The sequence below is a fragment of the Homo sapiens genome, chromosome 12 (assembly GCF_000001405.40).
Source record: "Homo sapiens chromosome 12, GRCh38.p14 Primary Assembly".
Taxonomy (NCBI): domain Eukaryota; kingdom Metazoa; phylum Chordata; class Mammalia; order Primates; family Hominidae; genus Homo; species Homo sapiens.
Window position 1 is genome coordinate 11,100,100 of NC_000012.12, and position 15,100 is coordinate 11,115,199.

At 37.5% G+C, this 15,100-nt stretch overlaps 2 protein-coding genes and 1 long non-coding RNA gene across 5 annotated transcripts in view, besides 1 other annotated feature; all 3 read right to left on the reverse strand.

Annotated features, from left to right (window-relative positions):
* PRH1-PRR4 (PRH1-PRR4 readthrough) overlaps nucleotides 1–15,100 on the reverse strand; it is a 325,777-nt gene that overhangs the window by 254,251 nt on the left and 56,426 nt on the right. The window lies entirely within an intron of this gene.
* PRH1 (proline rich protein HaeIII subfamily 1) overlaps nucleotides 1–15,100 on the reverse strand; it is a 290,647-nt gene that overhangs the window by 219,135 nt on the left and 56,412 nt on the right. The gene's annotated exons all lie outside the window — the stretch shown is intronic.
* The window catches only part of PRH1-TAS2R14 (PRH1-TAS2R14 readthrough), a 234,202-nt gene that overhangs the window by 162,690 nt on the left and 56,412 nt on the right, over nucleotides 1–15,100 (reverse strand). The window lies entirely within an intron of this gene.
* Nucleotides 8,577–9,077: an enhancer, noted in NCBI's record as "H3K27ac hESC enhancer chr12:11261275-11261775 (GRCh37/hg19 assembly coordinates)". NCBI's record gives its function as "activates a minimal SCP1, AML or CMV promoter by ChIP-STARR-seq in naive H9 embryonic stem cells {active_cell/tissue: H9 hESC(naive)}" and the evidence as "EXISTENCE:reporter gene assay evidence [ECO:0000049][PMID:30033119]".

A 15,100-nucleotide genomic window follows, 5' to 3' on the forward strand; every position in this document is an offset into this window, starting at 1 on the left:
ATTTCTATGAGACATTTCTCCTAATCAAAAACTTTAATATTAAAATTATAATGCACACTTAGAAATGAACCAAAACAAAAATGGGAAATACCGGAATGCATCATAAACAGTCAACTAACCCTTATAAAGGGCAAGAGATGGAACACTGAAAATAGGCTAAGTCCATCTCCATGCCACCCTCCTGACATGAAAATGGTAATGATTTTCTTCCTTTTGTAATACTTTGGTCAAAGAAGAGAATAAAACCAAGGTCTAGGCATCCTCCTGCAACTTGGAAGAAACTGGAAATTGATTTGATGTGAGGAGTTTTTTTGGATAGTAGCTTGTCTGTTGTGGGGTCATCACCACAAACTCTCCTCACAGGGAAATTCAGTGAGCAGCACTGGATCTCAAAATGTCATTTCAATTAATAAGACAAAGTATCTCCACCACAGCTCCACCATTCTATTCCATGATTTAAATTTTAAGCTGTTTTTATTAGCAGAAATCAACACTTCTTAGTTTTTAACAATCTTTAAAACATCAAATAGTAAAACAGTACTTAAAACTTTATCAAAAAATGACGGCATTCTCAGCAAACTATCACAAATGCTTTTTCTCATTCTTAGCTATGGTGACTAAATCTGGATTATTTTACTACAGCAGTCAAAGTAGCATTATATGTGCACAAACATACTCAAAGATCAGGCTAAATTATTTTTTATACCTTAAAAAATTTGCCTTTCTATGATTTTTTTCTCTAATGGACAGCCAAAAAATTTATAGTAACAAAAAATTTTACCCAACACACTGGTGTACACAGGAATAGTATAGTGAAATTAGAATGCTAACAATGTGAATATAAATATTTCATTTAGAGACACATTTTTAATACATTTAATTTAATATATTTAATATCCATCGTACTATAATTTATTGTAAATTCCTGAATTTCTTACACTTTCAAATGTGTATCAAAAATAATTAAATTGGAAATAAGAAAAAAGGTGTCTATCAATCATGGATATTCAAATTTTGATGTTTCAAATTCATATTAGCACTAAGAAAGTGGATTAACAATTCTTGCCTATCTCTTCTTTTGTGTGAATTAATTTAAGTAATGTTTTGGGCCAGGTGTGGTGGCTCACACCTGTAATCCCATCATTTGGGAGGCTGAGGCAGGTGGATTGCCTAAGCACAGGAGTTCAAGACCTGCCTGGGCAACATGGAAAAACCATGTCTCTACAAAAAAATAGAAAAAATTAGCAGGGCGTAGTGGTGCACGCCTGTTGTCCTAGCTACTCTGGAGGCTAAGATGGGAGAATCACTTGAGCCAAGGTGACAGAGGCTGCATTGAGCCAAGATTGTTCTTGTGCACTCCAGCCTGGACAACAGAGTCAGATCCTGTCTCAAAATAAAAATAGAAAAGTTTTAAATTTTAACTTGGATTTCTTAGTACCATAATCCTCTATTCTTTATTCAGCAAAAACTCTAATTACAATGATATCTATAAGAATATGCTGCATCACCCTAATTTTACACTTAGAAATGTACTTTAGGTTTCTGCTTTTTTAACATTTTTTATTGTGGAGCAAAACATACAGATACAGAGTAATAACAACTAATAAACAGTAAGATAAAAAATTATAAGGTTAAAATTGATGTTACCATACCTTGGTAAGAAAATAGAATTTGCCATTGTATATTTAGAAAACCTAATCTTCTCTGCCCAAAATCTCCTTAAGCTGATAAGCAACTTCAGCAAAGTCTCAGGATACAAAATCAATGTGCAAAAATCACAAACATTCTTATACACCAATAACAGACAAACAGAGAGCCAAATCATGAGTGAACTCCCATTCACAATTGCTTCAAAGAGAATAAAATACCTAAGAATCCAACTTACAAGGGATGTGAAGGAAATCTTCAAGAACTACAAACCACTGCTCAATGAAATAAAAGAGGATACAAACAAATGGAAGAACATTCCATGCTCATGGATAGGAAGAATCAATATCATGAAAATGGCCATACTTCCCAAGGTAATTTATAGATTCAATGCCATCCCCATCAAGCTAACAATGACTTTCTTCACAGAATTGGAAAAAAACTACTTTAAAGTTCATATGGAACCAAAAAAGAGCCTGCATTGCCAAGACAATCCTAAGCCAAAAGAACAAAGGTGGAGGCATCACGCTACCTGACTTCAAACTATACTACAAGGCTATAGTAACCAAAACAGCATGGTGCTGGTACCAAAACAGAGATATAGACCAATGGAACAGAACAGAGCCCTCACAAATAATATGACACATCTACAACCATCTGATCTTTGGCAAACCTGACAAAAACAAGAAATGGGGAAAGGATTCCCTATTTAATAAATGGTGCTGGAAAACTGGCTAGCCATATGTAGAAAGCTGAAACTGGATCCATTCCTTACACCTTATACAAAAATTAATTCAGGATGGATTAAAGACTTAAATGTTGGACCTAAAACCATAAAAACCCTAGAAGTAAACCTAGGCAATACCATTCAGGACACAGGCATGGGCAAGGACTTCATGGCTAAAACACCAAAAGCAATGGCAACAAAAGCCAAAATTGACAAATGGGATCTAATTAAAATAAAGAGCTTCTGCACAGCAAAAGAAACTACTGTCACAGTGAACAGGCAACCTACAGAAGGAGAAAATTTTTACAATCTACCCATCTGACAAAGGGCTAATATCCAGAATCTACAAAGAACTTAAACAAATTTACAAGAAAAAAATCAAACAACCCCATCAACAAGTGGGTGAAGGATATGAACAGACACTTCTCAAAAGAATACATTTATGCAGCTAAAAGACACACGAAAAAATGCTCATCATCGCTGGCCATCAGAGAAATGCAAATCAAAACCACAATGAGATACTATCTCACACCAGTTAGAATGGCAATCATTAAAAAGTCAGGAAACAACAGGTGCTGGAGAGGATGTGGAGAAATAGGAACAATTTACACTACTGGTGAGACTGTAAACTAGTTCAAACATTGTGGAAGACAGTGTGGCGATTCCTCAGGGATATAGAACTAGAAATGCCATTTGACCCAGCCATCCCATTACTGGATATATAAACGAAGGATTATAAATCATGCTGCTATAAAGACACATGCACATATGTTTATTGCAGCACTATTCACAATAGCAAAGACTTGGAACCAACCCAAATGCCCATCAATGATAGACTGGATAAAGAAAATGTGGCACATATACACCATGGAATACTATGCAGCCATAAAAAATGATGAGTTCACGTCCCTTGTAGGGACGTGGATGAAGCTAGAAACCATCATTCTGAGCAAACTATCGCAAGGACAGAAAACCAAACTCCACGTGTTCTCACTCATAGGTGGGAACTGAACAACGAGAACACTTGGATACAGGGTGGGGAACATCACACTCTGGGGCCTGTTGTGGGGTGGGGGGAGGAGGGAGGGATAGCATTAGGAGATATACCTAATGTAAATGACGAGTTAATGGGTGCAGCACACCAACAAGCACATGTATCCATATGTAACAAACCTGCACATTGTGCACATGTACCCTAGAACTTAAAGTAAAATAAAAATAAATAAATAAATAAAATATAAAAAAAATGAACAAAATCTCGTGTTAAGCCATAGGACTATATTAAATGAATTCATACACAAATTTCTAAGCACACAATAAATGCTCAAGAATGTTAGTGGCATTACTGTTACTGTGGCTGTTTATTGTATTTTAACACCTAAAGAAATTCCTCAAATAAAATTGGTGTTAAGTCATTGTGAGGTGCTTCAATATGTAATATTTTCTTTCTACAGTTCACTAAATTACTTTTTCTAGTAACCAGTTTCCTGGTTCTAATCAGATAATCACACGTGTTTAGATGGGCTTGTGCAACCTAACTAGGCTACCCTGTTGCTGTACCACCACTACCACTCCCCCATCCAACTTCATTGAGTGCTTTTGATGTGGACACTAGGATGTTCCAGATTCACTTTATTTAGATATTTGATTCAACGGTGACCAACACAGTCAAAGATACTTCGCACAGATAAGATCCAAATGAAAGAGTAAAAAAAAAAAAAAAAAAAAAAGGAAGAAAATAGAATTTGCTAGCAATCCAGATACTCCCGATATATGTCTTCTTGTTGATATTTTCCTCCCTTCTGACTATCCCAAATTGTTATGATGATCACTCATATGATGATCACTCATATGTTTCACTGTAGGGTTTTATCACCAATGTAATGAATGACAATGTATTAAAAATAAAGTTTTTCAAACTTTACGTCAATGAGATTACAGTAAATGTATTTTTCCATCTTGATAATTCCTCTCACATCTGTATTATTATCTATGTAGCTCAAATTTGTTCATTTTCTTTGTTGTATTATTCTGTTGTAAACATGTCAGTCTTGTTTGTTAATTTTGATCACTGTATAGTATTCCACTGTATAAGTATGCCACAATTTCTTTATCCATTTGGAGGACTGAGACATTTGGAGGACTTCTCAACTTTAGCTATTAAAACTCAGTGATATGCATGTGTATGTATATGTATTCTGATAAGAGTGTAAATACTTGATCTTAGGATATGATCCTTCACCTTAATGAGATAATGCCATACTCAGCCGAAATGATGGCACAGATTTATAATTCTAGGAGTAGTGTATGAAAATTCCCATTGTGTCATATCCTTTCCAAAATAAATAATGTTGGGCTAATATATACATTTTTGTATTTATATAAAATATTATTAAACAATATTTTCCAAGTCCTTTTCTATTCTTATTCAGAATGTATGTTTACTTCAATGAATTACATTAATCTTTTTCATTCTATGACTATTTCATATACACTTATTAATAATGCCTTATATATTATACATATTTATTTATATTTCATTATAAATTGTCTAACCTTTTTCTTCAAATTTCAAATACTCTTGTTATAAGTAACTGTAATTATACTGGAGATACTTCCTTTAATCAATCATTGTGTCAGATGACTTTGAAAAAATATAATTAGTTAACAGCATACAGTAAGGGAAATTTCAGGATTGTTTAACAACTCTTAAAAGGACTCAAAGAAAAAAAGTTGAAAAATAAAAAGAGTCTATAAGTTTAATGTAGGTGTCCATGGGAAAATATAAATATATTATTGTTGATGAAAAAATGATTGGTAGTAAATTTATCATGTCTGAATTTTTTTAAAGGCAAGCCTGATATCACTGGTCAAGATTTCCTTTAAGGTCTTGACCTTAACATCTATGTGTACCTGATTCCTGAATTTGCAGGAATGTCCTTGTTCCTTTTTAAATTCTGTGACCAATGTCAAACAGGAAAGCATCTCAATATGCCAGTGGATGAAATCAATGCTGTCTTTATGGAAAACATGATGATTTCCAAAACAGCTCAAATTAACTCCTATTCAAACACAACGTCCTTGCTGTAAGATAAAATTTTCCATATTGGTGTTGAAGTGAAAAGTGATTTCTCATCTACTAGCATGCCAATGAAGAGTTTTTTAATTGTTCTGCACTTACTTCTTTGTTTAACCTCTCCACAATTTGTGTTCAGCAACTTCAGTTGTTAGAGAAATTTTACAACCTAATACAGAGATGACACACTGGTTGTATAACCTGGTAAAGGGAGCTTGGACATAACTAGGATCATCACCAAAGTAAATTTAATTTTTCAACGTGAGTAATATGTAGAGTGAATCCAAACTTTTCCTACCAAAAGGATTCAAGTTTTTCTTGGGAATCTCAGAAAGGCCAATAATTCTTAAAACCTGGTTGCTCCTAATACTTTTGAATAACTTATTCTTTTTTTTTTTTTTTTTTTTTTGAGACGGAGTCTCACTCTTTCGCCCAAGCTGGACTGCAGTGGTGCTATCCCGGCTCACTGCAAGCTCCGCCTCTTGGGTTCATGCCATTCTCCTGCCTCAGCCTCCCGAGTAGCTGGGATTACAGGCGCCCACCACCACGCCCGGCTAATTTTTTGTATTTTTAGTAGAGACGGGGTTTCACCGTGTTAGCCAGGATGGTCTCGATCTCCTGACCTCGTGATCCGCCCGCCTCGGCCTCCCAAAGTGCTGGGATTACAGGCGTGAGCCACCGCGCCCGGCCATAACTTATTCTTAAGAAGCTCATTAATACAAACACACTCAAACCCATACACACATACTCACTCACTCATGGATAGAAGAAATTGTTGTCCTATAATTTCCAAAATGGAAAATTAATTTCAGGGACATCATCCAGGTAAAAATAGCCCTATTTTCCCATTTGGGCTTTTCAACCCATTTTCAATATTTTTCAAACTTATCTCTCATGCTGAGACCTTTGACTAAGTTTTTCTCTTGAGTTTACTTAATTGTTAAATATTAATTTTTTAGTTAAAATACTCAGCAATTGTGTAACTATTGTGGGCTACTTAAAAAACACGTTTTCCATTGAAGAGTCTAGATCTTCATATATGAATATTTGGTTTTATTTTTCTCTATTTAATTTATTTTTGATTACTTAATGGTTTAAGAGGAATCGATGTTAAAATCAGTCTCCAATCTTGGATTTTATTTCTTTTCCATTTTTACAGTATAATTGTTTCTAACAGAAGATTGTGGAGTCAGACTGCCAAGACAGGAAAGCAGATTTTCTGCTTCAAATATGGTCTGAGACTTCATTTGACAACTACTCTCTGCCTTGGTATAATCATCTGTAAAATGCAAATGATAATAATATTCTCTTCAGGTAGTCTTTATGAGGAGTTAGTATACTAGTTGTATAACTGCTTTCAATTTTATCTGTCTAGTACAGGCAGGAACCAAGAATTATTAATTTTTTGTATGATCGTGTGTTACTTGATACATAAAAGATAACCAGTGAGACCTTCTTTTTTGGGGTAGGGGAGCGAGAAAGACAGGGTCTTACTCGTCACCCAGGCTGGAGTGCAATGGCTTGATCACAGCTCACTCCAGTCTCAAACATTTGTGTCCTCCCACCTCAGCTTCTGGAGTAGCTGTGTCTACAGGCATGCATCACAACACCCAGCTAATTTATTAATTTTTTTGTTGAGACAGAGTCTCCCTATGTTGCCCAGTCTGGTCTTCAACTCCTGTTCTCAAGTGGTCCCCTCATCTTGGCCTCCCAAAGTGCTTGCATACAGGTGTGAACAACCACACATGGCTGAGAACTTCCATTTTTGGGCAGAATGCACAAGGTTCAGAAAAGCATGATACCTTCTGCTACAATTAAGATAAGAGAAATAAAAGGCCAAAATTATATTTTCAATTTGTCACAGAGTTGTACAAGCAAGAATGACCAGCTGAACTGAAATCCAGCACAGGGAGAGTCTTTATAGATTGCAGTTATATATTCAGTGCAATCCCTATCAAATCCCAGCAGATGTTTTATCACAGAAAGTGGAAAACTACTCCTAAAATGTGTCTGGAAATGCCAAGTGACAAGATCACAAAAAGAAATTGTTAAAAAATAACAAATTTGGAGGATTACACTTTCTGATTTCAAAGCTTCCTTCAAAGCTGCACGAATCAGGATTCTATGGTACTCGCATTAGGGTAGACAAAAAGAACAATGAAACACAACTGAGAGTCCAGAAATTAACACCAACATTCATGGTCAATTGATTTCAAAAAAGGGACTACTGCAATTTGATAGGAATTAATGGTTTTTCTCAAAAAACAATGCTGGGTAAAATTGAAGAAGACTACCTCAAAGAATTTAATAATCAATTTCCCTAAGCTCAAGGATAAAGAAAGGATTCTGAAAGCAGCAAAAGAAAAGGAACAAATAATGTACAATGGAGCTCCACTACATGTGGCAGCAGACTTTTCAGTGGAAAAAGGCCAGGAGAGAGTGGTATGACATATTAAAAGTGCAGAGAGTGGTATGACATATTAAAAGTGCTGAAGGAAGAAAACTTTCAGCCTAGAATAGTGTAACTGGAGAAAATATCCTTCAAACGTGAAAGAGAAATAAAGACTTTTCCAGACCAACAAAAGCTGAGTGATTTCATCAGCACCAGATCTGTCCTAGAAAAATTTCAAACGGATTACTTCAGTCAGAAAGAAAAGGACATTAATGGGCAATAAGTAATCACTTGAAGCTATAAAACGTACGGGTAATAGTAAGGAGACAGAAAACACAGACTAATATAACACTGTAAATGTGGTGCATAAACATCACTTAAATAGAAAAACTAAATGATGAAGTAATAATGAAAAAAAATAGTGGAGTGGCTGGCAAAATGTCCTAATAGGAACAGCTCCAGTCTGCAAATCCCAGCAAGATCAACACAAAAGGTGGGTGATTTCTGCATTTCCAACTGAGTTACATGGCTCATCTCACTGGGACTGGTTAGACAGCGGGTGAAGCCCACGGAGGATGAGCCGAAGGAGGGTGTGGTGTTGCCTCACCCGGGAAGTGCAAGGGGTCGGGGAACTCCCTCTCCTAGCCAAGGGAAGCTGTAAGGGACCATGCAGTGAGGGACGACGTATTCTGGCCCAGATACTACACTTTCCCCATGGTCTTCGTAACCCACAAACCAGGAGATTTCCTCCAGTGTTTATGCCACCAGGGCCATGGGTCTCAAGCATAAAACTGAGCGATCATTTGGGCAGACACCAAGCTAGCTGCAGAAGTTTTTTGTCATACCCCAGTGGTGCCTGGAATGCCAGCAAGACAGAACCATTCAGTCCCCTGGAAAGGGGGCTGAAGCCAGGAAGCCAAGTTGTCTAGCTCAGTGGATCCCACCTCCTTGGAGCCCAGCAAGCTAAGATCCACTGGTTTGACATTCTCACTGCTAGTTTAGCAGTCTGAAGTCAACCTGGGATGCTTGAGCTTAGTCAAGGGAAGGATGTCCGCCATTACTGGGGCTTGAGTAGGCAATTTTCCCCTTACGGTGTAAACAAAGCCACCAGGAAGTTCAAACTGGGTGGAGCCCACAGCAGCTCTGCACAACCACTGTAGCCAAACTGCCTCTCTAGACTCTTCCTCTCTGGTCAGGGCATCTCTGAAAGAAAGGCAGCAGCCCCAGTCAGGGGCTTATAGATAAAACTCTCATCTCCCTGGGACAGAGCACCTGGGAGAAGGGGCAGCTGTGGGAGCAGCATCAGCAGACATAAACTTTCCTGCCTGACACTCTGAAAAGAGCAGCAGATCTCCCAGCACAGCACTTGAGCTCTGCTAAAGGACAGAGTGCCTCCTTAAGTGGGTCCCTGACCTCTGTGCCTCCTTACTGGGAGACATCTCCCAGCAATGGTGGACAGAAACCTCATACAGGAGAGCTCTGCCTGACATCTGGCGGGTAACCCTCTGGGATGAAGCTTCCAGAGGAAGGAACAGGCAGCAATATTTGCTGTTTTGCAGCCTCCACTGGTGATACCCAGGCAAACAAGGTCTGGAGTGGACCTCCAGCAAACTACAGCAGACTTGCAGCAGAGGACCCTGACTGTTAGAAGGAAAATCAACAAACAAAAAGGAATAGCATCAACATCAACAAAAAGGATGTACACACAGAGACCCCATCTGAAGATCACCAACATCAAAGACCAAAGGTAGAAAAATCCATGATGATGAGGAAAAACCAGGGCAAAAAAGGCTGAAAATTCCAAAAACCGGAAGCCTCTTCTCTTCCAAAGGATCACAACTCCTCACCAGCAAGGGAACAAAACTGGACAGAGAATGAGTTTGATGAATTGACACAAGTAGGCTTCAGAAGGTGGGTAATAAACTCAACTGAGATAAAGAAGCATGGTCTAACCCAATGCAAGGGAGCCAAGAACCTTGAAAAAAGGTTAGAGCAATTGCTACCTGGAATAACCAGTTTAGAAAAGAACATAAATGACCTGATGGAGCTGAAAAGCACAGCATGAGAACTTTGTGAAGCATACACAAATATCAATAGGTGAACCAATCAAGCGGAAGAAAGGATATCAGACATTGAAGATCAATTTAATGAAATAATGCATGAAGATGAGATTAGAGAAAAAAGAATGAAAAGGAACAAACAAAGCCTCAAGAAATATTGGACTATGTGAAAAGACCAAACCTATGATTCACTGGTGTACCTGAAAGAGATGGGGATAATGGAACAAAGTTGGAAAACACTCTTCAGGATATTATCCAGGAGAACTTACCCAACTTAGCAAGACTGGCCAACATTCAAATTCAGGGAATACAGAGAACACCACAAAGATACTCCTTGAGAAGAGCACCCAAAAATACATAATAGTCAGATTCACCAAGGTTGAAATGAAGGAAAAAATGTTAAGAACAGCCAGAAAGAAAGGCTGAGTCACCAAAAAGAGAAGCCCATCAGACTAACAGCAGATCTCCTGGCAGAAACCCTACAAGCCGGAAGAGAGTGGGGACATTCTTCAAGAAAAGGATTTTCAACCCAGAATTTCATAGCAAGCCAAAAAGCTTCATAGTTGAAGGAGAAATAAAATCCTTACAGACAAGCAAATGCTAAGAGATTTTGTTACCACCAGGCCTGCCTCACAAGAGCTTCTGAAGCAAGCACTAAATGTGGAAAGGAAAAACCAGTACCAGCCACTTCAGAAAAACACCAAATTGTAAAGACCATTGGCACTATGAAGAAACTACATCAACTAATGAAGCAAAATAACCAGCTAGCATCATAATTATAGGAAAAAAATCACACATAACAATATTAACCTTAAATGTAAATGGGAAAAATACCCCAATTAAAAGGCACAGACCAGCAAATTGAATAGAGTCAAGACCCATTGTTGTGCTGTATTCAGGAAACCCATCTCATGTGCAAAGACACAAATAGTCTCAACATAAAGGGATGGAGGAATATTTACCACACAAATGGAAAGCAAAAGAAAGCAGGGGTGGCAATCCTAGACTCTGATAAAACAGACTTTAAACCAACAAAGGTCAAAAAAGACAAAGAGGAGAATTACATAATGGTAAAGGAATCAACGCAACAAGAAGAGCTAACTATCCTAAATATATGTGCACCCAATACAGGGGCACCCAGATTCATAAAGCAAGTTCTTAGAGACCTACAAAGAGACTTAGACTCCCACACAATAATAGTGAGAGACTTTAACACCCCACAGTCAATATTAGACAGATCAATGAGACAGAAAATTAACAAGGATATTAGGACTTGAACTCAGCTCTGGACCAAGCTGACCTAATAGACATCTACAGAACTCTCCACCTCAAATCAACAGAATACACATTCTTCTCAGCACCACATCACACTAATTCTAAAACTGACCACATAAGTGGAAGTGAAACACTCCTCAGCAAATGCAAAACAAAATAAATCATAACAAACAGTCTCTCATACCACAGTGCAATCAAATTAGAACTCAGGATTCAGAAACTCACTCAGAACTGCACAACTACATGGAAACTGAACAACTTGCTCTTGAATGACTACTGAGTAAATAACGATATTAAGACAGAAATAAATAAGTTCTTTGAAACCAATGAGAACAAAGACAAAATGTACCAGAATCTCTGGGACACAGCTAAAGCAGTGTTTAGAGGGAAATTTATAGCACTAAATGCCCACAGGAGAAAGTGGGAAAGATCTAAAGTTGACACCCTAGCATCACAATTAAAAGAACTGGAGAAGCAAGAGCAAACAAATTTAAAAGCTAGCAGAAGACAAGAGATAACTAAGGTCAGAGCACAACTGAAGGAGATAGAAACACCTAAAACCCTTCAGAAAATCAATGAATCCAGGAGCTGGTTTTTTGAAAAGTTCAACAAAATAGAAAGACAGCTAGCCAGACTAGTAAAGAAGAAAAGAGAGAATAATCCAATAGACACAATAAAAAATAATAAAGGAGATATTACCACTGACTTCAGAGAAATACAAACTATCATCAGAGAATACTATAAACACCTCTATGCAAATACGCTAGAAAATTTAGAAGAAATGGATAAAATACTGGACACATACAACATCCCAAGTCTAAACCAGGAAGAAGTCAAATCCCTGAATAGACCAATAACAAGTTCTGAAACTGAGACAGTAATTAATAGCCTAGCAACCAAAAAAAGTCCAGGAACAGACATATTCACAACCAAATTCTACCAGAGGTACAAAGAGGAGATGGTACCATTCTTTCTGAAACTATTCAAAACACTGGAAAAAGAGGGACTACTCCTTAACTCATTTTATGAGGCCAGCATCATCCTGATTCCAAAACCTGATAGAGACACAGCAAAAAGAGAAAATTTTAGGCCAATATCCTTGATGAACATCGATGCGAAAATCCTCAATAAAATACTGGCAAGCCAAATCCAGCAGCATATAAAAAGGCTTATCCACCAAGATCAAGTCGTCTTCAACCCTGGGATGCAAGGCTGGTTCAACATATGCAAATCAATAAACATAATCCATCACATAAACAGAACCAATGACAAAAACCACATGATTATCTCAACAGATGCAGAAAAGGCCTTTGATAAAATTCAACATGCCTTCATGCTAAAAACACTCAAGAAACTAGGTACTGATGGAATGTATCTCAAAATATTAAGTGCTATTTATGACAAACCCACAGCCAATATACTGAATGGGCAAAAACGGGAAGCATTCCCTTTGAAAATCGGCACAAAACAAGGATGCCATCTCTCACCACTCCTGTTCAACATAGTATTGGAAATTCTGGCCAGGACAATCAGGAAGAGAAAGAAATAAAGGGTATTCAAATAGAAAGAAAGGAAGTCAAACTGTCTCTGTTTGCAGATGACAGGATTGTATATTTAGAAAAACCCATCATCTCAGCCCCAAATCTCCTTAAGCTGATAAGCAATTTCAGCAGTCTCAGGATAAAAAATCAACATGCAAAATTCACAAGCATTCCTATACACCAATAACAGACAAACAGAGAGCCAAATCATGAGTGAACTCCATTTCACAATTGCTACAAAGAGAATAAAATACCTAGGAATACAGCTAAGAAGAGATGTGAAAGATCTCTTCAAGGAGAACAACAAACCACTTCTCAAGGAAATAAGAGAGGACACAAACACATGGAAAAACATTTCATACCATTGACTTTCTTCAAAGAATTGGAAAACACTACTTAGAAATTCACATGGAACCAAAAAAGAGCCCGTGTAGCCAAGACAATCCTAAGCAAAAAGAACAAAGCAGGAGGCATCACACTACCTGGCTTCAAAGTATACTACAAGTCTACAGTAACCAAAACAGCATGGTACTGGTACCAAAACAGATATATAGACCAATGGAACAGAACAGAGGCCTCAGAAATAATGCCACACATCTACAACCATCTGATTTTGACAAACCTGACAAAAAACAAGCAGTGAGGGAATGGATTCCCTATTTGATAAATGGTGTTGGGCAAACTGGCTAGCCTTAGGCAGAAAACTGAAACTGGACCCCTTCCTTACACATTATACAAAAATTAATTCAGGGTGGATTAAAAACTTAAATGTAATATCCAAAACCATAAAAACCCTAGAAGAAAACCTAGGCAATACCATTCAGGACGTAGGCATGAGCAAAGACTTCATGACTGAAACACCAAAAGCAATTGCAACAAAAGACAAAATGTACAAATGGAATCTAATTAAACTAAAGAGCTTCTGCACAGCAAAAGAAACTATCATCGGAGTGACAGGCAACCTACAGAATGGGAGAAAATTTTTGCAATCTATTAAACAAACAACCCCATCAAAAAGTGGGTGGAGGATATGAGCAGACACTTCTCAAAAGAAGACATTTATGTTCCCAAGAAAATATGGGAAAGAAAGAAGCTCATCATCACTGCTCATTAGAGAAATGCAAATCAAAACCACAATGAGATACCATCTCATGACAGAATGGTGATCATTAAAAAGTCAGGAAACAACAGATGCTGGAGAGTAGGTGGAGAAATAGGAATGCTTTTACACTGTTGGTGGGAGTGCAAATTAGTTCAACCATTGGGGAAAACAGTGTGGTGATTCCTCAAGGATCTAGAACCAGAAATACCATTTGACCCAGCAATCCCATTACTGGGTACATACCCAAAGGATTATAAATTATTCTACTATAAAGACACATGCACATGTATGTTTATTGCAGCATTGTTCACAAGAGCAAAGACCTGGGACCAACCCAAATGCCCATCAAATATAGACTGTATAAAGAAAATGTGGCACATATGTACCATGGAATACTATGCAGCCATAAAAAAGGATGAGTTCATGTCCTTTGCAGGGACCTGGATGAAGCTGGAAACCATCATTCTCAGCAAACTAACACAGGAACAGAAAACCAAACACCACATTATCACTCATAATTGGGAGCTAAACAATGAGAACACATGGACACAGGGAGGACACAGGGAACGTCACACAACTGGGCCTTTTAGGGTGAGGGGGGCTAGGGATAGCATTAGGAGAAATATCTAATGTAGATGACGGGTTGATGGGTGCAGCAAACCACCATGGCACATGTACACCGATGTAACAAACCTGCACGTTCTGCACATGTATCCCAGAAGTTAAAGTATAATTAAAAAAATAATAGCCACAACAACCTTTGAATACATACACAGTACAATAAGAAATAAATAGTGAAAACAGAAAGTTAAAAATGAAGAAGATGGAGTTAAGGTGCAGAGTCTTCATTTGTTTTGTTTTTGTGCTTGTTTGTTTGCTTATGCGAACAGTGCTAAGTTGTTATCAGCTTGAAATAATGGGTTAGAGGGTAGTATTTGCAAGCCTCATGGTAATCTCAAACCAAAAAGCATAGAATGGATACACAAACATAAAAAGCAAAAAACTATATTATATCACCAGAGAAAATAACCTTCACTAAAGAAAAATAGGAAGGTAGGAAAGAAAGAAGAGCAGACCACAACATAACCAGAAAACAAATAACAAAATGACAAAAGTAAGTCCTAACTACCAATACTAACATTGAATGTAAATGGGCTAAACTCTCCAATCAAAAGACATAGTCTGGCTAAATGGAAAAACAAACAAACAAACAAAACACCAATCTGTTGCCTCTAAGAAACACACTTTGTCTATAAAGACATGCACAGAAAGAAAACAAC